Source organism: Homo sapiens, chromosome 13 (assembly GCF_000001405.40).
Source record: "Homo sapiens chromosome 13, GRCh38.p14 Primary Assembly".
Classification (NCBI taxonomy): domain Eukaryota; kingdom Metazoa; phylum Chordata; class Mammalia; order Primates; family Hominidae; genus Homo; species Homo sapiens.
In genome coordinates this window covers 30,860,581-30,888,150 of record NC_000013.11, presented here as the reverse complement: position 1 = coordinate 30,888,150, position 27,570 = coordinate 30,860,581, and the positions used below count along the sequence as shown (strand labels likewise).

At 45.9% G+C, this 27,570-nt stretch overlaps 2 long non-coding RNA genes across 2 annotated transcripts in view, besides 6 other annotated features; one reads left to right on the top strand and one right to left on the bottom strand.

The window, feature by feature from the left end:
* The window catches only part of TEX26-AS1 (TEX26 antisense RNA 1), a 49,774-nt gene extending 44,458 nt beyond the window's left edge, over nt 1-5,316 (top strand). Inside the window, exons 3-4 of the long non-coding RNA NR_038287.1 lie at nt 4,091-4,213; nt 4,816-5,316. This is a non-coding gene — a long non-coding RNA (TEX26 antisense RNA 1). The remainder of the gene's footprint in view (nt 1-4,090; nt 4,214-4,815) is intronic.
* Nucleotides 2,271-2,842: an enhancer, noted in NCBI's record as "NANOG hESC enhancer chr13:31459446-31460017 (GRCh37/hg19 assembly coordinates)". NCBI's record gives its function as "activates a minimal SCP1, AML or CMV promoter by ChIP-STARR-seq in primed H9 embryonic stem cells {active_cell/tissue: H9 hESC(primed)}" and the evidence as "EXISTENCE:reporter gene assay evidence [ECO:0000049][PMID:30033119]".
* On the bottom strand, nt 4,756-5,589 carry LINC00545 (long intergenic non-protein coding RNA 545). The gene is made up of 2 exons (NR_103813.1): nt 5,492-5,589; nt 4,756-5,057 (listed from the first exon to the last, which is right to left on the bottom strand). It is a non-coding gene; the product is annotated as a long intergenic non-protein coding RNA 545 (long non-coding RNA).
* Nucleotides 15,482-16,291: an enhancer, noted in NCBI's record as "H3K27ac-H3K4me1 hESC enhancer chr13:31445997-31446806 (GRCh37/hg19 assembly coordinates)". NCBI's record gives its function as "activates a minimal SCP1, AML or CMV promoter by ChIP-STARR-seq in primed H9 embryonic stem cells {active_cell/tissue: H9 hESC(primed)}" and the evidence as "EXISTENCE:reporter gene assay evidence [ECO:0000049][PMID:30033119]".
* Nucleotides 15,876-15,925: an enhancer, noted in NCBI's record as "active region_7547". NCBI's record gives its function as "activates an Ori minimal core promoter by ATAC-STARR-seq in GM12878 lymphoblastoid cells {active_cell/tissue: GM12878}" and the evidence as "EXISTENCE:reporter gene assay evidence [ECO:0000049][PMID:35858748]".
* Nucleotides 16,292-17,101: an enhancer, noted in NCBI's record as "H3K4me1 hESC enhancer chr13:31445187-31445996 (GRCh37/hg19 assembly coordinates)". NCBI's record gives its function as "activates a minimal SCP1, AML or CMV promoter by ChIP-STARR-seq in primed H9 embryonic stem cells {active_cell/tissue: H9 hESC(primed)}" and the evidence as "EXISTENCE:reporter gene assay evidence [ECO:0000049][PMID:30033119]".
* Nucleotides 23,825-24,773: an enhancer, noted in NCBI's record as "NANOG-H3K27ac-H3K4me1 hESC enhancer chr13:31437515-31438463 (GRCh37/hg19 assembly coordinates)". NCBI's record gives its function as "activates a minimal SCP1, AML or CMV promoter by ChIP-STARR-seq in naive and primed H9 embryonic stem cells {active_cell/tissue: H9 hESC(naive and primed)}" and the evidence as "EXISTENCE:reporter gene assay evidence [ECO:0000049][PMID:30033119]".
* Nucleotides 24,774-25,724: an enhancer, noted in NCBI's record as "H3K27ac-H3K4me1 hESC enhancer chr13:31436564-31437514 (GRCh37/hg19 assembly coordinates)". NCBI's record gives its function as "activates a minimal SCP1, AML or CMV promoter by ChIP-STARR-seq in naive H9 embryonic stem cells {active_cell/tissue: H9 hESC(naive)}" and the evidence as "EXISTENCE:reporter gene assay evidence [ECO:0000049][PMID:30033119]".

Here is a 27,570-nt window from a genome sequence, read left to right as displayed (position 1 = left end):
GTGTCACTGTGAATAGAGTGGAGCACAGAAGAAGACAGCTGCATCCACCTCTCCTATCAGCAGTCAGTGCAAATTGAATTAGTCTATGTCACTGTTAATAAAGAAACCTGGCTGGGCGCGGTGGCTCACGCCTGTAATCCCAGCACTTTGGGAGGCTGAGGCAGGTGGATCACCTGAGATCAGGAGTTCAAGACCAGCCTGGCCAACATGGTGAAACCCCATCTCTACTAAAAATCCAAAAAAATTAGCTGAGTGTGGTGATGGGCACCTATAATCCCAGCTATTTGGGAGGCTGAGGCAGGAGAATCCCTTGAATCCGGGAGGCAGAGATTGCAGTGAGCCAAGATTGTGCCACTGTGCTCCAGCCTGGGTGACAAGAGCAAGTCTCTGTCTCAAAAGAAAGAACGAAAGACACCTAAGCAGGATGGCCAAATATCCAAATAAATCCAAGTGCATGGGGGAATCTCCCAACAGGACGCAGGGATAAAGAAATAGAATGGAAGAACGAAAAGTAAGAAATATGGACTTCAGACACAGTAGGTTAAAAAGCCCTCTTTTAAGGGTTCCAGTAGGAAAAAAATTGAGAAGAAGGAGCAGAGCTAACAAAGAAATTACAGAGAAGAATTTCCTAAAACTGTAGTCCTCAAATTGAAAGTTCCCTGGAGGACAAAGCAAGATACATTTTTTTTTAAATGAAACAAATCACCCCCTATAGATTAGAGTAAGCTATCAGAATATCAAGGATAAAGAAAAACTAAAATATTTCAGACAGAAAAAGCAGGTCACCCACTATGGCATGTAAATCAGTCTAACATCACACTTCACTAGCAGCACCCAGTGGAAGAAGACAGTGGAGTAGTCACTTTCTGAAATGCTGAGGAAAAGTGACCTTGTTATAGAATTCTCTACCTAATCAAATTGTCATTCAAGTGTGAGGGGTAAAATTTGATGTTTTTGGACATACAAGACCTGAGAAAGTGTCCCACCCATCAATTGTCCTGAAAGAATTGCTGGACGGTGGAGTCCAGGAAGAAGCAAAGAAATTAGCAAAATTTATAGTTGGTCTTAATAACTATTGAGTATAAAACATATATGTGTGCGTGTGTGTGAGTGTGACGATTTGGAACCCCTTGTTTTGGCTTAAATAAAAGCTTAAAAACCAATGGAAAAAGGGATGAGGTCAAACTTCTGTCTCATATCACCCTCTGGATTAATTCTGTATACACAGGGTGTTTCTTCTCTTACCCTCTGGAGGAGCCAAGTGAATCAGGGGAGTTTCCTTTATGGTCCCTGATGGGCACAGTCTGTCTTCTCTGCCATCTGGATGGCACAGGAGAGATGAACTCTCAGATAGATGACCCTAGGGGGGGAGCTGGACACCTTGTCCTTCATCCTTCCCAGGCCATGTACCCACTGGGAAAGGGCCTTTGAGGGATCATCACACACTGCAGAGGTGAGGAAGGGCATGGGTTCCTCTTCTAAGTAGCATCGGCCTCAGTGAAGCAGCCTCCAGAAGGTGTCCTCCCTGGAGAGGGCTTCGATGGACTTCAATGCCTCCCTCTCTCCTCAGACCTTCACATTTTTCTGGGAAGTTCTCTCACGCCTGTAATCCCAGCAGTTTGGGAGGCTGAGGTGGGCAGATCACCTGAGACCAGGAGTTCAAGACCAGCCTGGCCAACATGGTGAAACCCCATCTCTACAAAAAATACAAAAAACTAGCCAAGTGTGGTCGTGCGTGCCTGTAATTCCAGCTACTCGGGAAGCTGAGGCAGAAGAATCGCTTGAACCCGGGAGGTGGAGGTTGCAGTGAGCCGAGATCACATCACTGCATCCAGCCTGAGTGACAGAGCAAGCAAGACTCTGTCTCAAAAAAAAAAAAAAAAAAAGTATTTGAAGACATGCCCATGACACAGCCTCAGGAGGTCCTGATGGCTTGCATCCTGGGTGGTTGAGATACAGCTTGTTTTTATACATTTTTGGGAGACATAATACATCAATCAGTATATGTAAAATTTACTTTGGTTCCATCTAGAAGAGCAGGACAAGTCAAAGCAAGGTGAGGGTAGAAGGTTAGGGTTGGTGGGGGAGCTTCTAAGTCATAGGTAGATTTAAAGATTTTTTGATCGGCAATTGGTTGAAAGAGTTATTATCATAAAAAGGAATGTCTGGTGGGGCGCGGTGGCTCACGCCTGTAAACCCAGCACTTTGGGTGGCGGAGAGGGGTGGATCACTTGAGACCAGGAGTTTGAGACCAGCCTGGACAAATGGTGAAACCCGTCTCTACTAAAAATTCAAAAATTAGCCAGGCATGGTGGCGTATGCTTGTAATCCCAGCTACTTGGGAGGCTGAGGTGGGAGGATCGCTTGAACACAGGAGGCAGAAGCTGCAGTGGGCCAAGATAATGCCACTGCACTCCAGCCTGGACAATAGAGCAAGACTTCATCTCAAAAAAAAAAAAAAAAAAGGAACATCTGGGTAAATGTCCTTGTGGAGACCAGGGTTTTATCATGCAGATGAAGCCTCCAAGTAGCAGGCTCCAAAGAGAATAGGTTGTAAATGTTTCTTATCAGACTTAAGGTCTGTGTTGATGTTAATGCTGGCTGGCTGTTTCTGAATTCCAAATGGGAGGAGGGTATAATGAGGAATGTCCCACCCCACCTTCCCGTGATGACCTGAACAAGTTCTTCAGGTTAACTTTGGAGTGCCCTTGGCTGAGAGGAGGGGTTCTTTCAGATGACTGGGGGGGCCTTATAATTTTATTTTTGGTCTACAATACAATATTTGTTCGTTTGTGTCTGGCTTATTTCACTTAGCATAATGTCTTCAAGGTTAATCCATGTGATAGCATGTGTCAGATCTTCCTTCCTTTTTAAGGCTGAATATTTTCCATTATATGGACCCCATTTTACTTATCTATTTATCTGCTAATGGACACTTGGGTTGCTTCCACCCTTTGACTACTGTGAATAATGTTGCTATGAACATGGATGTATAACTATCTGTCTGAGTCATTGCTTTCACTTTTCTGGGTATATACCCAGAAGTGGAAATGATGTAGGAGTTAAAAAGACATTATTTAGGCAGATAGTGAGGGTAAGGAAGTCCTCAGTAAGGTTTTCCTTTTAATGAAAAGCAGCCGCCAAATCATTTTCTTTTCTAACAAAGGGTGGCCAGTAAAATCAAGCTGCAGACATAGAAAGGCAGGCTAGAAGTTTGCACAGGTGAATGCTGGCAGTTGTGCCAATAGGAAAGGGGTTACCTGGGAAATAGGCATGTTCAAAATGGCAGTTTCATCTTCCCTTTTCCTTGCCAACCACATGTGCAGCAGGGGGCAGACAACATGGAGCTCGTCAGGCAAATAGCCCATTTGCATAAGATTAGGGTGGGGAAGCCAGCTTCCCTCAAGCTATGTAAACATCACACTAGGTCCAACCAATCTTTGGGCCCTATGTAAATCAGACACCGCCTCCTCAAGCCTTTCTATAAAACCCTGTGCACTCCACGACCAGCCGGAACTCCCACTCAGGTGCCCTTCTCTCTCTCGCAGAAGAGAGAGCTGTTTTCTTTTCTCTTTCTTTTGCCTATTAAACCTCTGCTCCTAAACCCACTTCCTGTGTGTCTGCATACTCGATATCCTTGGCATGAGATGGCGAACCTCAGGTGTTTACCCCAGAGAATGATGTTTCTTTGGAATTGCTGAAACATATGGTAATTCTATGTTTAATTTGTTGAGGCACCACCATATTGTTTTCCATAGTGGCTGCACCATTTTACATTCCTGCCCATTCCCAATGCATCCGGCTTCCAGTTTCTCAATATCCAACACTTGTTATTTTCTATTTTTTTTTTTCATTAGTAGCCTTCCTAATGAGTGTGAAGTGGTATCTCATTGTGATTTTGATTTGCATTTTCCTAATGATTGATTAGTGATGCTGAGCATCTTTTCATATGCTTATTGACCATTTGTATACATATTATCTTTGGACAAATGTCTATTCAAGTCCTTTGCCCATTTTTTATTTGGACTGACTTTGTTGTTGTTGAGTTGCAGGAGTTCTTATTTTTAAATATTTAATTTTTTTTTTTTAGAGACGGGGTCTCACTGTATCAGCTCAGCTGGAGTACAGTGGTGAGATCAGAGCTCACCGCAGCCTCCGGGCTCCTGGTCTCAAGCAATCCGGACCTCAGCCTCCCAAGTAGTGGGGACTACAGGTGTGCACTACCACATCCAGCTAATTATTTTTTTTCTTTTTGTAGAGATGGAGTCCTACTTTGTTTCCCAGGCTGGTCTTGAACTCCTTGCTTCAAGCAATCCTCCCATCTCTGCCTCCCAAAGTGTTGGAATTACAAGCATGAGCCACTGTGCTTGGCCAGGAGTTCTTTATATATTCTGGATATCAATCCCTTATCAGATATATGATTTGCAAATATTTTCTTTGATTCTCCTTGGGTTGCCCCTTCACTCTGTTGATTGTGTCCTTTGATACATTTGAAACCCTCCTGAGCCCTTCCCTCTGGTATCCTGCCCCTGCTCTCAGGCTGCTCTATCCTTTGCATGGGGTTCTTGGGTATCGGGGTACTCCTCCACCTTGTATCCTGCTGCCTCCCTGGGTGGGCTGCACCCACTGAGGGGTGAGGGAGTGGCAGGTGCTTCATTCCTCTGTGATTTCTGCCCCAGTCCTCTTCTAACAAACGCAAATCCTATTATGAGAATTTGCTAACACGTTTTAAAAATACGCAAATGTATTGGGAGCTTATTTCAGAGACAATTTTTATTTTAAAGAAAAAGTAACTTATATATTTTTAAAATCTAGAGAATGTACAACTCCTCTGCCACAACGTGAGGGAGAGAAGTCTGCAGACGGCTGACTGGTGACGACTGAACAAGACGGAAAGGCAAGTCGCTATGCCCGAAGCCTTTGAAGGGAGCCAGCAGGGTCCATGGGAGGTTCAGGACACATATCTGCAGCCCTGCTTCTGGCCCCACCCTTGGGGAAGCCTTTTGCAGGTGATCCTGGGCCTCTGCTGGGGAAGGCCCCAAGAGGTGAAGCATCCTCTGCAGAGGAGAGAGCACATCCGGAAGTAGAAGACAGACCACTGTCTGGGCTCCGTTTAACTGCTGTGATTTGGGATTGTAACTTACTCCCGTAAAGCCTCAGTTTCCCACATGGAAAATCAAATCGATCATTGTTATAACATTTCACTTTTTTGTTATGTGATGTAATTTACACAGTGCTTTCGTATACGTTATCCAATTTAGCGAAATAATACAGAGCAATGCATTTTGAAAAGAATAAAATGCTTAACATATGTGAGGAATTCTTTTTTCCTTTGAAAACTACTCCGGATGGCTTGGCTATTGTTTAGTTAAGAGAATTATACAATTTTTGAGACATGGTTCCTTATCTTGTGTAGGCTGAAAGGCAATTAAACAATTATTCATGTCAGAATCTGAGGTAAATAAAAGGCTGCTTCAAAGAGTCCACTTACGGAGTGAAAAGCAGTTGAGTAGAAACAGAGAGTGGTCTGTAATTTCCTTCTGGAAGGAATATCCACTCCATATGGCCTGAAGCAAGAATTTCAAACTCCTCTGTGGGGAGAAAGAGACAGAAATAAAAACTTTTAAGTTTTTTTACTCCGATTTGTCCCAGCCATTTTCTGAACAGCCTATGGAAGCCATCCGCTCCTCTAAACAAAAATAAGCTAAGAGACAGAAAGAATGATTTGATTTCCGTGTGTAGGGATGGTTCAGTCATAAATCAGTGTATTTTTTCCAAGAGGAAGGTGCCAGCAACAAAAGTTGGTCATAAAAAGGACATTAAACTTTAGTAGTCTCTTCACTGTTCCCTCCCACATCCAGTTGCCAACAGCAGAGACAACTGTGAGACACAGTGAAATGAAGTGACTGCTCCACTGCTGGGCAACAGGAGACCCGGATGCCAGGCTCCCTGGCAGAAGAAATAGAAAGTCAATAGCAAACACAGATGTCTTCCTCCCTACCACATCACCTCCACTTTTCACCATCGCCTGTGTGATACAACCACCCCGCAATGCCTTCCTCAGCCTTTTACTTCTGTTTCCAGTGAGTCAAGAAAAACTTCTCCAGCTTGCCCTGTGGAGATGAATGAGCCCATAATCCACTTACACGTGTGACCTTTACACAGCCAGGACCCCCATAGAGCAGCCAAACATGCAGTCTTGTAAACAAAAGGAATTTCAAGATAACTCTGATCTTTCACTAATTATCCCAAAGCCCAAAGGGGATCCATATACATAGTCCGAAGCCTACTTTAAGGAGGCATCCTCCCCTGTGTATTCCCAGCCCATCCCATAGTTTCCCACTCTGCAGCTCCAAACTCAACTTGTCCCATCACCAGCCCCCAGCCTCTCTTCTTTCCCTCTCCCCATGCCCCACTACCTCTATTTTTTATTATTGCAGATTGACCAAATGTCTATGAAGCTGCAGCAAGGTTTCTTCTTTTTTGGAGCAGGGAATGGGGAGTGATTGGGCTTGGCTGTGACAGATTGTTTTGGCAGGCTCAGTGGGCAGAGGCGGTGAACACCATCCCAGTAAGTAAAGGGACTGTAGGAGCGTAGAGTTCCCTTAGTTCCTGGCTGGAAACCCAGCTCCCTGCCTCCTCCCATCCATCAAGCTGGGAGCCATGACAGTGTCAGAGCCTGAGCTCCAGCCCAGACTTCTGGGTGAAGTGGTCCCATGGAGCAAAGCTTGGTTTGGAAGATTTGGAGAATGGGAAAGAATGTTCTCTTACCACAACCTCTTCCCCACTGCGGCCCCTTCCTAAGCTGCCATTGAAATCTATTTTTGCCAGAGCAAAAAATGGGGGAAGTGGACAGCTTCTGCCAACAGTGAGTTTGTTCCAAGCCCACCCCACAGTCATGGGTTCCTCAGAGTGTCACTGAATCACAGGACTCATGGAAATCTGCCCATGTCATGAAGATAAACCACTGTGATCACTTTTAAAATCTTTCTCATCATGTCCTTGGGAAGATAAAGGGGTGGAACTGAACAGAAAGGGGCAGAGGTGGGACTTTTTTTCACTAACCTTAACCTTCATGCCAAGAACAGAGATCTCTGTTTGAAAGCATGTCTCCGATGACCATTTATTTGCTCTGCCTGGTAAACCTTCGTGTAATGCGTGGCTTTAAGCATTAGTCATTCCCTGCTGGGAAGGAGGTTAGAACTCCAGAAACAAGGCTATTGCAGAACTGGACTGTGTGGGTCACTAAACCACAGGGGAAAGGGTGGAGAAGCAGCTGGTGTCCCGCTTAAAGGTCACAAAGCATTATTTCTACTTTAATACCCAGAGTTCAAGTGGAAATAAACTCAGAAGGTTAAGATCTAAGTGAAAATTAACTGAAGGCAACTGTGCCATTTGGACTCTGAGATGTGCTTGCCTGGGAAAGTGCAAAACACACTGGCTATCTTTCCATGAGCACAGCTGAACAGGAATAGGCATTAATAAGGATAAACATAAAGAAAAAATTGCTAATTATTGGCAGAGAATGCCAAGAAAAGTTGGTGGAATTCTCTTCTTTGGGGACCCTGGGAAAAGAACAGTAACAGTTAGGTACAGAGGCGCCTGGAAGCAAAGAAACTTCTTTCCCTGGGACAGTGGCTCTGTGCTGTGTGTAACCCTGAGTTCTTTAGGTCACTATAGTCTGGGTGAGTGACTCCAGGGTTGTAGGATGCAATAGCCATGCTAATGAAAACTCACTGGTTCTGAGCCCCCTTCCAGAAGTACTGTGGGTACTTTCAGCCTCTTTTCTCCCTGCAGAGTCTCAAAGAGCTCATGTTCTGTCCTTGGTGATTAATACAGATTTCTTGGCTCTTCCCAGCCTGCTAGTCAGTGAACTTAATTTGCCACTTCTGTTGCTAATCATAACTCTTGCCTCAGCATCAAGCTGATCATCCTTGCAGCTGTAGATATTGGCCCTCCTGCACTGGATGCTCGCAGAGAGGGGAAGGCAGTCTCCTAATCACCATTTCTAATAAAAAAACGAGAGGCTTGCATTCTCACTCTCTTGCTGAGCTTCTCCTGATGGAGCTAGCCATGAGGTTCCTGATGGCTGGAGGAAATATGAGGATATCTTCCCCAGAACACCCACCACACCTCTCTCAACAATCAACTCATGTTCCAGGACAGATGCTGTGAACAACAGCAAATGTAGAGCAGGTACTAGAAACTATGATCAGTGCTTTACATAGATGATCTCATTACATCTTTACTGTAAGCCCATGAGGTAGGTACTCTTATGGTCCCTATTCTACAGATGTGCAGAGAACCAGCACCTCAACTCTCTGATTTCAAGTTGAGAGGTTGGGGTTGGCCTGGTTGGCTCTTCAAGTCAAGAGGACATTTTATTCTGTCCCATCAAGTGACCTTTGGGTCACCAAGGCATTAGTTCTCAGTGGATATTGCTGGTGTGCCTGACGGAGGTGGCCATTAGGCCTCCCTCCATTACACATGCCGATAGCTCTTGGTTTTCTTTTATTTGCAATACAATTCAAAAATGTGAATAAAACCTCAAAAAATAGGGAAATGAAGTCTGAACAATAAAAATAGCTGAGATATTGAGTATTTAGTCTTGCCAGGCACTGTTTGCCAAGCACTGTTCTGTGAGGACAGTGCCTGGCAACATTAAATACTCAGTATCTTAGGAGGTAGGTACTATTATCATCCCCATTTTACAGGCCGCCAAGAGGTTAAGTGACTTGCACAAGATTGCACAGCTCTTAATTGGAGAAGCTGGCATTCAAATCCAGCAGTAGCATCGGCCTGTTCCTTGCCAAATACAACAAGGCTTTCTACCTTCTTGGATGTTTATTTCCTACCACACTTTTAAAAACAATTCACCAAACACGTAAGAAGTAGCTAAAACAAGGGGCTCACATTCAATGTGTAATGTAGAGGTGCAGCTTTGTGGTTGGTTCCTTCTTTCAGTTAAGTAATGAAAAATGATACAACACATAAAAATATAACAAAACCGAAAGAGGTGAGTGCCCTAAGGAGGATACAAATACAGCCCTGTGGAAGCTAAAGTGTTGGAAGAGATCCTGCTGAGTTAGGTCCCAAAGAATCACTAGGATCTCCACGAACAGAGATGGGAAACAGACAGTAGCACTGTAAGCAGGAAAAGAACTTCGTGGTGGAAAAGTGTCCTGGGGTCCAGAAATAGTGAGATACTGATATCTGATGGATCAAGTAGGAAGTCATGGATGATTCCAGGATGAAAAAAAATTCATAGATTCATCAGAACAATTAGCAGGTGAAATTTAGCAATATTTTCAACACACCTTCAAAAACACTTGGTAGTGGCACATGGGGCAGAAGAGTCCCATATATATGGATGTCCAGGTTTACACCAGATGTCCTGGCAACCCATCGGGTTAGCAACCCTAACCATTCTCAAGATCCTTGCATGGACAATAAATTATATGACCACCCTGTATCTGGCAAATTGAAAGATAGGGCCCAACACTTAGGTGTATTAACGGTGCTTAAGAAGTCATATTGTGGCCAGGCATGGTGGCTGACACCTGTAATCCCAACACTTTGGGAGGCTGAGGCAGGAGGAGCACCTGCGCCCAGGAATTCCAGAACAGTCTGGGCAACATGGAGAAACCCCATCTCTACAAAAACAAAAAACAAAACATAATTAGCTGGGTGTGGTGGCACACAACTGTAGTCCTAGCTACTCAGGAGACTGAAGTGGGAGGATTACTTCAGCCCAACAGGTTGAGGCTAGAGTGAGCCGTGATAGTGCCACTGCACTCCAGCCCAGGCAACAGAGTGAGAACCTGTCTCAAAACCAACAAACAAAAAACCAAAACAAACCCACAAATAAGTCATATTTTAAAAGCCTACATCTCAATGCCTAGCTAAGCTTTATAAAGAATGCGGGCTCTTTGACACTTGTTTACAATTGCAACCATAGTTGGTTTTGGAAGTGTCAGTTCTTCCCACAACCCTATTTGGTGTGAGCCGTTTTGCACAAGGTAACCCAACTAGTGTCTGCCACAGAGATATGCAGGAAAAGCCAGCCTTTGATGAACAAATAGTCCCCATCTATCTGGAGTTAATGTATAGTAAAGAAAAAACCTGGTTAAACACACACTGGCATAAACTGATAAAGCTAATTTTTATCCAAGCCCACTTTTGGATTTCAAACAACTGAAGTCAAAGAAGTTAATTAAAAACACATAGAGTTGTCAATGAGTTTAAAAATAAAACACAAATTTATTCGAAATAATGAGACTTAACTAACTCTGTGGTAGACTAGTTGGCTAGTCTTTTGCAGAAGAGCCAACCTATTTGTACCTGAGATAAAACATATTCAGAAAGAAGGAAAACTGCAAAGTGGTCCCAGAACAGAGAAAGCAACAAGGAGAAGGCTTAACTGTCCTTTCAACTTTGAGGTGCAATCTGTCTACAGGGCTCCCTTGGGGGAAGCACAAGCTCTTTCTTTTAGTCTGATTTTGTTGATTGATGCTGTGTTGTTGCTGGATTGTATTACTATGTGAAGTTGAAAGGCTTAATGTTAATGTGTCTTAAACTTCAAGACTTGGAATGCATGATCCCATTTAAACTTGACCGTTCTGGGCAATGTGTTTTGATTGGCTGGATGTCTAGCTTGTGCATTTCTGTCATTTCCTAATGTGTGTGGTATGCTTTGAGCACTGCAGACAGGAAACTCACTTTTTCTCTGGCTTTCTTCTGATTTTTCTGTTTCTTGATTATTGGAAAAATGAATAAACACATAAAAATAATAATAAAGTGTCACCCCAAAAGTCTTATCTTTAAAATAATGTGGAATGGCAATGCTAAAAATAAAGCAACTTGAACTAATTTCCACTATGAATAGGGAACAAAGAATCTGCACCTTCCCTGATTTTGGATTCCAGATTCCAAATATTTCATAAATAAAATATGGCCAGCCACATGAATTATAAGGTATATACCATGTGAGTTACATACACAGGGAGAGGTTGTTTTTAAAATTTCCTGCTGGCAAAGTCAGACTTATCCTTCTTTTTTTTTTTTTTTTTTTTGAGACAGAGTCTCACTCTGTCGCCCAGGCTGGAGGGCAGTGGCACAATCTCTGCTCACTGCAAGCTCCACCTCCCGGGCTCACGCCATTCTCCTGCCTCAGCCTCCCGAGTAGCTGGGACTACAGGTGCCCACCACTATACCCGGCTAATTTTTTGTATTTTTAGTAGAGACGGGGTTTCACCGTGTTAGCCAGGATGGTCTCCATCTCCTGACCTCGTGATCCACCCGCCTCGGCCTCCCAAAGTGCTGGGATTACAGGCGTGAGCCACCGCGCCCAGCCAGACTTATTCTCATTGCCACTATTAAACCTGTCAGATAAAACCATTCCAGGATGAAGTTGGAGATACGTCATAGTACATTTTAACCCATTTATGCCTGAGGTTGCAATTTTTTGAGTGTGAAAAATCAGACCCTGGTGATGACCTTGAGCAGTAAGACATAAATAACTCCCACATGCTTAGTGTTCCAATAATGGAACACTAGGCATAAATAGGTTTTAATATAAAAGCTTAAAATTTGTACTCCAAAGTAGGGAAAACTTGATTATATTCATTTACTCTCTATTAGGAGCATCACATCAGCTATATTTTTAAAGGAAGAAAAAGCATGTCATTTCCTTTGTATGCATATCGTCTAAACGGACACTTGGAAGTCAGTATTAGGTGTCAATGAAATGCCACATGATGGAAATAAAATCATCTACATATATAGTTGTACTCCTGTAAATACTTATCTTTGTATCCTCATAAATATTATGAAATACATACGTGAAAGTTTATCTCATAAATAAAATCCAATTTGTTATCAGACATTGAGGGTCTCAGGGAGAAAAAAGACCTTCAAACATATTTGCCTTATGCTTATGTGATTCCTGCATCCTTAGCATGTGATAAGTTGAAACCATAGCATAAAATACTCTAACAGAAATCCCTATGGAAAGCAAGAAACTATTTACCCTAATTAGCCTAGTGGCTTATTTCATAGTCAAGGAGTGTCAAAGATATTGATTTTATTGCAAACTCATACCACCCTTTATTCAGATCTGGGAATGGAGCAGATAGAGTGCCTGGGTCCAAGTTTAAATCTAAACCATCAAAAACAAATACATGAGTGACTGTTAAACTCTGCATGCCAGGCACTATTAGATGCTAGAGATGTAAATGAGCAATACTGTGGTGGGTTAAATGGTGGCCCCTGAAATATATACCCACACCCTAATCCTTGGAAGCTGTGAATGTAACCTTCTTTGGAAAAAAAAGTCTTTGTGGATATAAGTAAGCTAAGGATTTTTAGATGAAATCATCCTAGATTAGCCAGGTGAACCCTAAATCCAGTGACAAGCATTCTATGGGACAAATGGAAGAGCCACACACAGGGAGGAGGAGAAGGCTGTAAGAAGATGGAGGCAGAGGCTGGGTGATGCAGCCGTAGCCACCAAATAACTGGAGCCACCAGAAGTTGGACGAGGCCAGTAAAGGTCCCTGCTAGAACCTTCAGAGGAACACAGCCCAGCCGACAAATTTATTTCAAACATCTGGCCTCCGGAACTGTGGGAGAATAAATTTTGGTTGTTTTAAGTCACCAAGTTTGGGGTAATTTGTTACAGCAGTCCTGGGAAACTAATACAAATAGCATCCCGATATCTAGTTGCTGAAGGACAATATGCAGAGGGGGACAAGTTAGAGGTAAGTTACTTATCTGAAACTCATACCTGTAATCCCAGCACCTTGGGAGGCCAAGACAGGGGGATTGCTTGCATCCAGGAGTTCAAGACCAGCCTGGGCAACATAGCAAGACCTTGTCTCTACAAAAAAAATAAAAACAAAAAAATTAGCCTGGTAAGGTGGCATGAGCCTGTAGTCTCAGATACTCTGGAGGCTGAGGTGGGAGGATCACTTGAGCCCAGGAGTTTGAGTCTGCAGTGACTTCTGATGGCACCACTGCACTCCAGCCTAGGCAACAGAGCAAAAACTACTTCACTACCAGCAAAACAATAGGCAGAAAAATTTACTTGTGTGAATTTTTGAAAATCCAAGTTAGATTAGGACTCCCACACATGTCTTTTCCCAGGCCACTCCGTTTTGGATCCTCCAACTCCAGGTACTGGACTCCTGGGCTCCCTGGGATTTGAAATCAGGCCTTGATACTCCATTTTTTCCAAGCAGAGCTTTTTGAGAGGTCTTGAAGAACAGGCTTGAGTAGAAAGCCATATTTTTTGCACACTTATTTGTTGACCGCACATGTGGAATATGGGCTTTGAAAACCACTCTGTGTGTTGTGACAGCCTCAGCGTGGCCTGGGACACACCCATCGTGAGGCTTCTGCTGTGACTGAGTGTATCAGGCTCAGTAGCGAGCCAGGCTGGACTGACATCCAGAGCAAGGGCTGAGAAAGTTCTCGAGAGAAAATTCCTGTGAGGAAGGATTCTCTCCCGAAGGCCCAGAAACTCCTGAGCTTGTCTGTGAAATGTTACCTATATGTTCACTTTTCTGAGAGAATTTCTGGGGCTTTTATCATCTTTTGAAAAGGTTTCACAGCTTAAGAAACCACGCTGTAAGAACCCAGAATGAGATTTGGTGAGCTTGACCTGTTAGAAAAGCCTCAGTTGTCAGAGCAAAGTAGGATTCCAAATACAAAGATGTGGCTTTAACCTGGCGTGCTCCTGGAGGGGCAAGGCTGGGGCTGAGGGAGGATAGAGCAGACTGGAAGCAAAAACTAGATAGCTGGTCAATGAAGGCTCAAGCAGCCTTGCTGTGGGGCCCCACACAGCGACTAACACAGCAGAGAAAGCTGTTCCCCACCTCCTCCCCAGCCCCGGGCAAGGCTTTGGCACTCTAAGCTACCAGCAGAGATTGGCTGCACTCTCCAGAGTGGAGCACATGCGAGATGCCCCCAAGACCCCCAGAAATCTGGGGGCAGAACCTCAGGAAGCTGCACGTCCTGCTTCAACCTGAGGGGATAACGAAGTCAGCAGAATTCAAGTTTTCAATGTTACTGAAAACTCATTTTCACCCTCAGGTGTGGGAACTTTGGGGCCACACACCATTATGGAATTTGACACAGAATTTATACCCCCAAAGATTATTTATGTTCATCAATTCACATTAGATTGGTTTCAAATTTTAATTTTTGGTACCATGTGGAAAATCCCATAGATGCCTGTAGATTTAGCTACATTTTCCTGTACCTAAAATGGTAACGTTAATGCTCGTTCCCTAACAAACCCCAGATACTACGCTTTTCCAGAGCATTTCAGAATGAAGGAGAGGTGGGGATTATAAGAATATGCACAGTTCTGCCAACCATGACTGGGCATAATTTTCAGGCTCCTGGTAGACCTCCACAGGGGCGGTAGTAGGCTAGACAGGCCTGCCTTCCTCTGGGCTTGATGCTGCCGGCATCTCTGCTTCAGGCTACAATCAGTTACCCAGAGCCTTTTCATCTTTTCACTGAGGAAAACAAGAAAACCAGATCCCTTCTGAAAACACTTGCAGGAAAAGAAAAAAAAAAAAAGAAAGCAAATGCACAGTTTTTGTTGTGCTTTGTTGTTTTATATGGTCTCAACAGAGGCAAGTAAGAATAGATTATATATTTATCTAGAATGGGTTTCCAAAAAAATGGGGAAAGAAGGCTTAGGGAGTTCTTATTTTGTGATTTGTTTAAAAAAACAAAAAAGCTCAAGCCTCAGCCCCAGTCTCTATTGAAAAAAAAGAAAAAAAAATCAGAAAAGAGGAACTTGTTAGGAAGTGGAGTGAATGCTGGCTTCCCCCAGGCCCACTCAACCCCATCACCATGGAGACTCCTGAAGGTTCCAGGAATGACTCACGGGATTCGCTGGCGAAGCCTTTGAAATGGAAGCAGCACGGGAGCACAAAGATGAACTTAGTCTGCAGCCCTTAAAGACTATGCCTTTGCCTCCTGACTGACAGCCTGGGATGTGGATGGCAGGCTACAGAGAACGTGCCCTTCCCTTCTTCCAGATCCTCATTACTTGGGGGCACTTTGCTCATGAGAGCAAAGGTCAAAAAATGTTTTTGCCTTGGATTGGGTTCTTGCCCCACTATTGGAGAAATATTGATGTAAATAAACCCCTGCACCCCACCCCCAGAGTGTGAATACTTAAAAGGGGAGGCTGGGGCCCTTGGGATTAGAGAGAGGGTGGTTTTCAGAAGCCCTGGGCTGGAAAAAGGTGTGGGGGAGCTACAGGCCAAGTTTTTTCTTGGGCAGCTGAAATGTATTCCCCTGGCTGTCCCTCTGGCTACATAAAACTGGCTCACATTAGGTTCCTTCAAAACTCAGGAATGCAGGGTGTTATAAACCGGCTTTGGGTTTCATCTCTGCTGTAGCAAGGCTCTAAATTCAGAGAGCCACAAGAAGACTCCTCAAAGAAAAGAGTCACTCTCTGCCCAGAGTTTTATCCGCTGAATGTCTGTAAATCATAATTGGCAATTTGTGGAACAAGGAGAGCACCCTGCCCGGGGCTGCAATGAGCTCCTGCCCCTGGGAATTCACACAGGACAAGCACAAGCATGGCCGGTGCCCTCGTAAAGAAGCCCCGTTGCTGAATAGCTGAGGTGCTTCTTTCCCAAGGGCCTCAACTATGCAGCAGGGCTTCTTACAGGGAGTCCACACAAATGTTTAAGTTTCTGGGCATGGCAGGCACCCTGGGAGGGATGCCAGCACCCCCAAGTGCCAGCTGCCATTGCTAACCCAGAGCACCCGGTGTCCTCCCCGTCAGGAAGCTCGGCCCAGGCTGAGATGTGGGGTCAGGTTGGGCTGCCCACCCACTCACCCGGCACAGCCATGCTCACCAGCCACCGTGGATAACCTAAGGAGGAAGAGAAACTTCTCTGGTAGGGCCCAGTCCTTGTCTCAGACTCAACAGCACTGAGTCCAAAACTCGAGGGAGTTTGCCAGGGTTGCCTCCATAACACTTTTCTAAAACAGAAGCTCACCAGAATTCCCTCCTCCAAAATGCATAGAAAATACCCTTCTTTCCCTCCAAAGGGAGAACCACCGTGAAGATGCGTATTCTCTCCTTCCCTGCCCTAAATATACATCCTGGTGACTGCAGACCTGCTTAACCATGAAAACAAATGAGAAATAAAGGTCTGAGCAAAGCTGCAGTCGCCTCCTCTCAACTATTTATTCTGATTTCTCGACAAGTGAGTTAATTGGATGGGCCCTGTGACAGACATTCCATACTAAAATTCATAGCTTTCTGCCAAAACAACATATTGTGCGCTGCTATATTTTCCTTGTTGGAACTTGGCGCTGACGTGGGTCCCGAGCAGTTTCATGCGGAAGCGGGGAGACTGAAGGCGCTGAAACAAAGGCGACACCCCCTGAGGCTCCCAGCCGGCCTGTCCTCCGTCCTCTGCAGCAGCACCTGTTCCTTGGCTTTTTTATTGTTACTTGGGCTTTGCAAGGTTCAAGTTCAAAGGGAGCCCCAGGAGTGAAGAAACAGATGCCGGTTTGAGGCCACACCAGCTGGGGCCTCCCTGCAGCCTGGGAAGGGTTTGGGCTGTCTGGCGGCCTTGGTGGGCCCAGCTGCCCGGCTCAGGCAGGTCTTCTCTGCGGAGCCCTGTCCCATGCCCCAGTCCCCATGCGCAGGGCCCTGCGGGGAGGTCCCGTCGCCCCAAGGGAAGGACAGGGCCGGTGCAGGCTTAGGGCTGCGGAGCCCTAGGCGGCCCAGCTGATGCCACCACCGCTGTCCTGAAGGTTCCTTTCCCTTTCAGCAAAAGTCAGCAGCTGCCTCCTCTGATTCAGAGATGTTCCCCCTCTGAAATAGCGCTCTCTTCATTTTCCAGGAATTTCTACCCGTCTCGGTTCCCTCTATCCACCTGCCAGGACCCAGCATCCACCATCCCTCTGCGTCCTAGGCCTTTTCTCCTGAGATTCAAGGAGCACCGGGCCGACATGCCCAGGCCCCCGCTGTCCTCTCAGAAGGGAGGTTGGCCTTCGCACCTTCTCCACTCTGTAGCCATGTCGTGGGCCTTAAACAGGTAGAGAGAGAGGTAGGCTTTTGCTCCCCACGTCAGTCCCCAGAATGCTCATCAGTCAGCAAGCAGGCACCAGCCCCCAGTGCAGCTTCACTACCCCACAACCATCGCCGTGCCAGAACCACAGACTCCCTCCAGACAGCCTCCGATAAGAAGCTCCGTGCCCCTGAGTCCACCTCACAGAGCCCTGACTCCAACCAACAGAACTCCTGACTCCACCCACAAAGCTCTGACTCCACTCCACAGAGCCGTGACTTCACCCCAGAGATCCCTGACTACATCCCACAGAGCCCTGACTCCACTTAACAGAGCCCTGACTCCACCCAACAGAATCCCTGACTCCACCCACAGAGCCCTGTCTCCACCCACAGAATGCCTGACTCCACCCAACAGAGCCCTGACTCCACCTCACAGAGCCCTGACTCCACCAAACAGAACCCCTGACTCCACCCAACAGAGCCCCGACTCCACCCACAAAGCTCTGACTCCACCCAGAGCCCTGACTCCACCCAACAGAGCCGTGACTTCACCCCAGAGAGCCCTGAGTACACCCCACAGAGCCCTGACTCCACCCCACAGAGCCCTGACTCCACCCCACAGAGTTCCTGACTCCACCCAACAGATCCCTGACTCTACCCACAGCCCTGACTCCACCCCACAGCACTGACTCCAGCCCTAAGAGCCCCTGATTCCACCCACAGACTTCCTGACTCCACCCGACAGAGCCCCTGACCACCCCACAGAACCCCTGACGTCGACCCCACAGTGGCCCCTGAAGCTCAATCCCGTGTAGGCCAAGGAGTTATGTGAGCTCCTCACCCCTGTGCTGTCACTGTTTCCCTAATGGCTTCCCTTAGATGACCTCACATAGCATGCGTCACAGACTGAAGGAGCAGAGTAGCATCCTCTCCATTCCAGAGGCAACCGCAGTGGAATGCCATGATTTGCTTATAGTTTCACAGCTTGTAACTGGCAGCAGCTCCAACCAGGGCCCTAGGCTCAGATTCCATGCTCTTTCCAACCTTTCAGGCTCCTAAAGAATTAAAATCAGCCTGGAAAGTGTCTGCCTCTGACTGGGGACATTCGAGTGTGCATATCACCCAAAGGGAAGAGGCAGGAGGAAACGAGCTTCTAGAGTGACAGAAGGAGCTGAGGAATGGAGCCCAATAATAAAGGAAAATTTTAAAAAGAAAATTGACACGAGAGAAGAAAGTCCCTATTTAGAAGAAAATATTTGCTCCATCAGAGCAAAATGCCTCTACATTTCTGCCTGAAACCATCTATATTTCTGAACAGGGCTTGCTCCACCCTACAGTGGAGGAGTGGACTCCACCCTGCAGAACCTTGGTCTCCAGCCCAGCCGTGACCTGGATGCCCTTTCCCTGCCTCTGGCCAGCCCAGATGCATTCCTTCCTGCAAACCCAGCTCAAGTACGTCTTCTCCACAGCCCGTGGTGCACCTTGCCTGCCTCCCGTGTCTCCTCCTCGCTGAAGTCCTCCGGCATATCCACACTATTTGGGGCTGCTTTAATTGGTCCTCACTGGTATTTTGTCTTGAGAAAGTCCTTTGGTTGTTGCATGTGTTTCTGTTTTTGCCCCTTCATCAGATTGTAAAGCCGTCGAAGATGGAAACATTATCTTCTATTTCTCTGTTGGTTTCCAGGAAGCTCCTTTCTGCAGGTCTTCCCTCGACCTCTCAGGATGCACAATCTCAGTCTTTCCTGGCTTGCCTCAGCATTTAACACCCAGTTTGGAGTTTTGGTCCTCTTAGCACTTCTTGTCCTCTCAAGCTACACTCTCTCCAGGCATCCTAACACATGCACATTTGCCACAGCTGCTTACAGCTGAGACTGTTTCCAGCCAAGTATTCAAAGCCATTTCTTAACTTCCAACTGGGCCTTTCCTCCTGAAAAGTTCTGAGGCGACTTCAACTCAGTAGGAACTGAACTGAAGAAATTACCTGTCTCCCAGCCCAGTTCTTTCTCTGGTATCATCTGTCTTTATTAATGCTCCCTCATCCACCCAGTCACCCAGAAACCTGGGATCATCCTAGACTCCTCCCTCCTCATCATCACCACTGTGCCCAGTCCTTCCAGCCCCTCTGAGGGCTGGGGTCTGAGCCAAGCTTTTGACTCAGAGCTTTCCATTTACTCCTCTCCACAATGCTATGGAGAAAGCACTATTTTACCTCTGCCTTAAAAATGAAGACACCCAGTCTGGGCACAGTGGCTTACACCTGTAAGCCCAGCAATTTGGGAGGCTGAGGCGGGCAGATCATTTGAGGTCAGGAGTTTGAGACCCAGCCTGACCAACATGGTGAAACCCCATCTCTACCAAAAATACAAAAATTAGCCAGGCGTGATGGTGCATACCTATAATTCCAGCTACTCTGGAGGCTGAGGCAGGACAGTCCCCTGAACCCAGGAGGCAGAGGCTGCAGTAAGCGGAGATTGCGCCACTGCACTCCAGCCTGGGCAACAGAGTGACACTTTTCCCCCCACCCCCACCAAATACACACAAAGACACTCAGGCTGGGCATAGTGACTCACACCTGTAATCCCAGCACTTTGGGAGGCCAAGGGAAGAGGATCACTTGAGCCCAGGAGTTCAAGACCAGCCTGGGCTACATGTCCTAAAACATTCAAAAATGAGCCAGGTGTGGTGGCATGTGCCTGTGGTCCCAGCTACTTGAGAGGCTGAGGTGGGAGGATCACTTGAGCCCAACAGTTCAAGACTGCAGTGAGCTGTGATCACACCACTGCACTCCAGCCTGGGTGACAGAGCAAGACCCTGTCTTAGAAAAAAAAAAATGAAATGAGGACACCCAGGTTTAGAAAGGGTAAGAAATTTGCCCAAAGTCACACACGGAGTAAGTGGTGGTGTTGAGATTCCCAGCCAGATGAGCTGACCCCAGAGGAGACAAACATCTTCCTGCAGTCAGCCAGTACCCACTCTTCACAGTACAGGGCCCACGAGGTGGAGAAAACCCATTTTATAAGGAGAAAACTGAGGTTCAAAGCAGGTGGTGACCTGAACCAGGCCCACCAGAGTTACGACTGCTCTCACTCCTCTATAGCACAAGCTACCTTTGAGAGAACAGAGCTCCGGATCATTTAAGAGGTTTCCTTCTGTTCAGTGCCAACTGAGTTTAAAATTCCCGTGTGAGTTATGATTATCATTTCCATTGATTCATTTCCATTGATTGAGAATAAAAAGAAGTGGTTTATGTTGCAGCATGAAAGATCTAAATTAGAATTTTTAAAAAAAACCTTCTAGATCTGGAGAGCTGATAGATTTTTCATTTCCTTGCTAAGGGAGTCTATGCAAGCTCTCTCTGGAAATCCTTTGAAATGGCTTAGAGACCTGATGTAGCTAGAATGAGTTTGGAGGAATCCAACATGAAGGTAGCCCAATACTAGGTTGCAAACAGGCTAGATGCTTTTGGGTTTGTAGACATGTTTGATTTGGAACTCCCAGTGTTTTACATGAAAATCCCAAATTCTGGCTTCTTTTGAAAAACCAGTTGATATGACAACCCAAGCCTTTCTGCCCCAGTTGGCCACAGTCCATGCTGGAGCAGGGTCAGCCTGCCTCCTTGGACAGGGCCGGCACACTCCACTTGGCCTCAGCCCCTCCAGCCAGCTTACCTACTGATGTTACCTTCCTGGGCTCTTTAGGCATATGAATTAGTGACCTCAGATGACACTGGTAGGGTCAACCTTTCAAACGTGCACCTTTCCACTTAGCCAAAATCTGAGCTATGCCAGACATTTTGTTAGATAGCATCAGAGCACGGACTAGAAGCTGAATTGCTCTTGCAGTGAAAGGACTGATTCCCACACTCCTATTTTATCCCTACATGAAAACATGGCAAAATCAACTTTCCTTCTTGCTTACCTTCTAGGAAAATCAGAAGTATTCACCAGGTGTTGAAATAGAAACTTATTTCTTATAATTGCCAACTTTGCTGCACTGAGTCACATGTTGATTTCTACCTAATGAAAAATCCAGAGCAGGCTGGAGTCTGACAGATAGAGCCCGATTCGCTATTTACTCTGGTGCTAATCACAATCATGTTTACAGGAAAATGCCCTCATCTGCTTCCAGCAGCTCCAGCCACTCAGCCATGTGAGCGCTGTCTTCAAAGTCAATTGCCTGTCATTTTGCTGATTTATGTTGAGCAACTGCAAGGACCCCTCGAGGTATTTGTAGCTAGCTTGATGATTCCCAGCTTATAAAGTGGCAGTGGGCAGAGCATTTCAGTTCAAATTCCCATCAAGACAGAATTTAAATCCCCAGCCCTGCTGCTCATATTTGCAATGTGAGCACTTTAGATAAGCAGAAACCATCAAACCCTAAATGCTGGGGGAAATACAACCTGGATTTCTTCAAATGGAGCCTAAGCCCAAATCTTCTTTCAGACCTTGGATAGGAAAGTGATTCTAACAGTTTTTAAAAGAGTGATCACATATGCTTTTTCCCAAGAAGTATTAACGACTGAGGCAAGACGGGCACTATCAGATTAGATTGGAGAAGCCGGGAAACGAATTTCCCTCACCGCCTGCCTGGATTCTTAACGTTTCAACCAGCAGAATCTAATTTCTTTGGAATTACTTGCCCTCTAACAGAAGTTTTCTTTTTAAAATGAAAATATTGCCGAAAAGGGAGACCTATTAAATTACTAACCCATTAGCTTCTGGTTTAGCTTCAATCTTAGAGAAGCCCAATTCCTTCTAAACCTGTCTCGCCCTACACTGAAAGTGCTGGAGGTGCAGATCTCAGTGCACTGGCCTTGGCTGCTGAGATTCAGGGAGGTTAGATGGCGGGTAGAGTCACCCATGCGCTGTGGGATGGGGGTCCCTTCCATGCACTCTCCTGGCAAGTCCTGAACCACCAAAGGTGTAAGTGGATGTATTTTTCAGGTTCTCCCTTACAGCACTTTGAAGTCAAACACAAGATTTAAGGATTGCTCACAGCCTGCATTTTCTGTATTTCTGCATTTCTTGTTCACTCAACGTCTCAGGTATTTAATTACATACTCACTGTTAGGGCTCAGGGAAGCTGTTTAGAGGTTCAGCTCAGCCCCTTCGGGTCACAAAACTGAAATACAGTGACTTCCCCAAAGTCAGCAAAGCTCAAGGATCCTTAAGAACCCAGACATGTGAGATACTGAGTAATCCAAACTGAGGCCAACTCCAAAAAAGGGCTCCATTGACTCATCTTTCGGTCATCTCGCTCCAGCTCTCACTTAGAGAAAGTGCGTATTTCTTCCATTTAGAAAAGACTGCTCACGCTTTCCATGTCATTACATTTCTTTATTCCTCTCTTTATATTCCAGCTGCCTTTCTTCGTGTTTTTTGTCACTTGCCCTATTTAGCCATCTCCAAACTAGCTACCTGCCTCCGTGCCATGGAGCATGCTTTTCTGCAGCTCGGCCTCACGATTCTAGGCCAGCTTTTGCACCCCCTACCCCCTCCATGCTTATAAAACTGGGTTCCCTGCTCCCTTTCTGTGTGCTGTTATGCTTCAGAAGCGCCACTGGGTGGCAGTGTCTCAGAGCAGTCCTGGGCCCTGCAACGTGGCTTTGGGCTGGGCTGCTGGTTGCTTGTCTGTTACAGCACAAACAGGCCTGTGTGGACAGGCAGAGCAACGAGACAGCCACAGTGGTGCTCTGGAAAGGATGAGTATTAGATATTAAGGAAACGAGGGACAGAGGTCTGCGTACTGTGTCCTTTCGGAGCTTGCACTAGCCACAAGGCTGACATCTGCCGTCATTCTAACAAAGGAATCTCAAATCCTGAGGCTGTTTGGGAGGTGTCCTTGAAAAGAATGACTATAACCCTTTGCCCTCCCTGTTTTGATTTTCAGCCTACCATTGGGCCCTGATTCATCCATAAAAACAACAACCAAAAAATAAAAAAAAAAGGCAATCCCCGTGAGCATTGTGTGTTTGCTGGACAGGATAGTAATGGCTTAATCCTTCTAATGGCTTTGGTCACTGCAGGATATTAGCTATTAGAAGGGTCTGTTTAAAAGGGGGTGGTGGGGGAAGGTAGGGCCATCTGCTGATTATAGCATGCATGAGGAATGAAGGGAACATTTAAAGAGACACCGTCCATTGATTTAGACACAAATAATTAGTTTGTAGTTGAAAAGGCATATTTAGGGCTTGAATTTTAGTATCTGAATCATTTGCTTAAAGTGCAAATGTGATGTCTCAGACTGGAGATGATCCCAGGAACTATTTGATTCCACCTTTCATGCTTTTTGTAAAGAACTTCTCCGGAGACTAAAAGGAATGTGGCCTGAAATGCATCAACATTGACGTCATGGCTTGGAGTCTGTGGAAGTCAAACCAAATGTTTTTATTATAAACAGGTCAGCCCAGGACCAAACTGTGAAGTACATGTTTGATTTCCATGTGTCCCACCCCCAGCCCCAGCCTTGGCCTCTGCACAGAAAATAGTTCCCAACATCCCACCAGGTGGCCCAGCCCCCTCCTCACTGACTCCCCACTTCACCTTCCCTTCCAGGCCTGACAGCAAACTAAAGCAAAAGAAATCTTCCCAAGGATCGTGGCATATTAGGAAATGAATGCACGCTCTCCATTCAGGAAAGCTGGGGGCAGGCCAACCTCACCTCCCAAACGGGAAAAGCCTAGACTAGAGGTGAGCAGAGACCTGGCTTCCCCTCTAGGCCAGGCCCTGGGTCCATAGGCAACAACTGTTCTGGGAAGTGGGAATTTTATACAGCAATTCAATGAGAAGGAAGATGTGGAGGGATGTATTTGGTATCAAATGCATCCTGTCATCCCACAAAATCAAAACTTTGGTCCCTGAACCAAGAGAACATAAAGCCTTAGGGAAAGACATTTCCTGAATATTGAGAAGTGAATACTGAATAATGTAAGGTGGCGTAGGCTGCCTGTAGTGTCCCGGGAGTAGGTGATGCAGGTGTTGAGAGACAGGCACAGAGAAGCCACCCAGGGAAGCAGAGTCATGGAAGCCACCACGGGAGAGATGAAACACAAGTCAGGTCTTGAAGGAAGAGTAGATTTACCTGGCAAAGGAAAGGAGGGAGGGCATTCCTCGAAGAGCTTATATTAGCAAGATAATGGAGAACGGGAACACACAAGAATGAAAAGATGGCTTACATGGTTGAAGCGGAGAGTCTGAGAAGCGTAGTAGAATAGGTGGCAGTAGATAAGGGTAAGATGGGGAATTCCTGAAGTTGGCTTTTTTTAGACTGCAAGGAACAGAGACACCTGATGTACCTGAAGTGAAGGGGATTGACTCTGAGATGCAGGAATGAGGCAGGAAGAGCACACAGCCCTGCGTCTAAAAACGCAGGGGCAGCCACATTGCCAAACTCCAGGGAGACGGGAATGTAATGTGGGAGCTGAGTATTTTAAAACTTCGTAAATTAATTAAAAATTTGAGGTATGGTAAGGCAAACAGATAGGAGACAACTGCCAGTAAAAAGATAGCTTGTTACTCACGGTTTCCAAGAGGAGAGGACATGCTGTGCCACGTGGGGAGGGGGCACACAGGGGAGCTCCAGAGCGAGTCGGGAGGTCGCCAGAGAGGCTGGACCTGTGGGCGGGGGCCCTTATTGTGGCGCATGCTGGAAGGTGTGGGCAAGGCAGAGCAGGCAGGCTCAGGGTAGGCTGGTTTTAGTGGGCTCTGGGGTATATGGGCTGTCCTTAGTTAGAGACTTGGCCCTGCGGAAGGAGTGATTGGGGCAGGTGAAGAGGTGGCTGGGGTGGGGCTGTGGAGGGGTTGGTTTGCATTTGAAAAGCACATTGTAGGGGGTTGCAAGTTGTTTTCTATCTTTGGAATAATTGGTAACCCTGGGAGGGACAGTCCCTCCACGGCCAGCAAGGCCCAGATGTCAAAGCATCAGAATATAGAAAATAAAAGACGCAATTACTGCACCAAGAGAGCATTCAGAACACGATGTCACTCTGGCGGTGCCCTCGTCTGTGGCTGCCACCAGTGCTCCGGATTGGGTGACCAGCCCTCAACCCCACGCTGACTCTCCTCTGCGGCTCCTGTCTGGAGTTAGACTCCCAGGAGAGGATCAGCTTGTCTCCGTGGCTTCCAGCCAGGCCTGGCTGCTCCTGTTGGGCAGCTCTTTATGTCCGGCCGCGCGTGCCGGCTGCCCGTGAATCAAGCACCCACTCGTTGTCTACTCAATTTATTAGTGGGTCTCTCGGCTTGGCAAGCTATACTCAGAGCCTCCCGTTGGGGGAGGCCTGCACGGGGAGAGACATTCTGAGGATTCCGAGAAGGAGGAACTATGACCAGCACCTCACTTGGCTTTTCCCGTAGAAAGCTTTTGGAAGCCTGGAAATGAGTCTGGGTAACAACTGCAGAAGTGCCCAAGGATTTAAACAGGGCAGTGACATGGGGAAGCATCATTTTTATGAGGAAGATTAATCTGACAATAACATGTGGGACCCACTGGAGAGGGAAGAGGATGCTACAGATCCCAGCACCTGGGTGGGGGGACCACGGGACAGAGAGAAAGGGGAGGTTCCCAAAGAATGGCTGAAGAAAGCATTGACAGAACTTAGTGAGCAACTGGCCGAGGAAGGAGAGGAAGAGGAAGGCACATTGAGACTGCAAGCCTGGTGGGTAGAGAGGAAAATGCCTCACTGACACTGACAATAGCAAAGTATGCAAAAGGAGCAGAGATGACGGAGATTCTTTTTAGATATATAAACTTGTATCGGGAGATGGACACCAATAGCCCCCAACTGTTGCTGAGTGGGAAACAGTGTGTCTGTAGCAATGAGACACTTTGCTGAGTAGACAATTTATTAACTCTTACTTTTTTTACTCATGAGTCCAGTAGATCCATGAACACAATGACCGCATTTAGGTTTTTCCAAGTTTTCTCAGAGCCCAAAGTCTAGGTCTTGAACTCATGGAGATAGGGAGTAAAAGGATGGTTACAAGAGGTTGGGAAGGGGGAGGGGTTGGGGGGTGGCAGGTGAGGATGGTTAATGGGTACAAAAAGTAGTTAGAAAGAATGAATAAGGTGGGATGCGGTGGCTCATGCCTGTAATCCCAGCACATTGGGAGGCCGAGGCAGGTGTATGACTTGAGCTCAGGAGTTCAAGACCAGCCTGGGTAACATGGCAAAACCCCGTCTCTACCAAAAATACAAAAAAAAAATTAGCCGGGCATGGTGGCATGTGCCTGTGGTCCCAGCTACTTGTGAGCTTGAGGTGGGAGGATTGCTTGAGCCTAGGAGGGTGGAGATTGTAGTGAGCCAAGATCATGCCACTGCACTCCAACCTGGGTGACAGAGTGAGACTCCATCTCAAAAAAAAAAAAAAAAAAAAAGGATGAATAAAACCAAGTATTTATAGCACAACAAGGTGACTATAGTCAATAATAATTTAATACATTTAAAAGTAACTAGAAGAGTATAATTGGATTGTTTGTAACAGAAAGGATAAATGCTTGAGGTAATGAATACCCCATTTACCCTGATGTGATTATAATGCATTGCATGTCTGTATCAAAATATCTCAGGTACTCTATAGATACACCTACTTTGTACCCACAAAAATTGAAAATTAAAAAAAAAAATAAGTCCAGGTGTTGGGTCCAGTGTAAATAGGTGCTAACCATACTTATTTAATGTCTTCTGCCCACCTCTGTCCAAGTATGAGTTTTACATAATTAGAAGCATGACTCATACAAATATATACTGAGCACCTGATAAAGACGGATTTCACTCACGAATGAGGGAACCAACAGGGAGGTAAAACTGCCCAAAGACTATTTGTGGAACAGACACTTACATGCTTTCTCAGGAAAGGAATATTGAAACAGGTTTGCTAAGTTAGCTACAAAGCAAGTTATTACCCTGCAGGGCAATATAACTACGACCTTTTAGGTTATCTTTTCCACTGGACAGAAATGTTTGCATCTCCACCAGACAAAAAAAAAAAAAAAAAAAAAATCATTTGCAACTTAACAATCTCCTACAAGTTAACCTCTAACTTCACACAGTTTGGTCCCTAATCAATAGTTAATAGTAGGTCAAACCAGGTGTACTCCCCTAGAGAAGTGGGTGATCCTTGCACAAGCCTCTTAGACAATGTTTCAATATGACACTGAAAGTACTGTAGTCATCCTTTTGCTTTATTTCTAAGTTTGGGATAATTTCTAACTTACATCCTGCCTTAAGATGTTAGATTTCAACTCAAGTGTTGTTTCCTTAAGCCAGCCTTCCTTGGCCTCCCTGACAAGTTCACATCCCCCTGTTCACTTGCTTCCACGGTGTCAGGTATTTCGCCTTCTCGGCGGTTACTTTAAAAATTATTCTGACATTGTAAAAACGGTAAGAAAGACTTTATTCAGGACAATTGCAATAGGTGTCAAGATTCTTGCAACGGGAGAGAGAGAGATGGAGCTCAGCTCCCAATACGATAAGAACAAGTGGAGATTTATAGCCAAGGGGCAGAGTGAGGGGTCGATGGA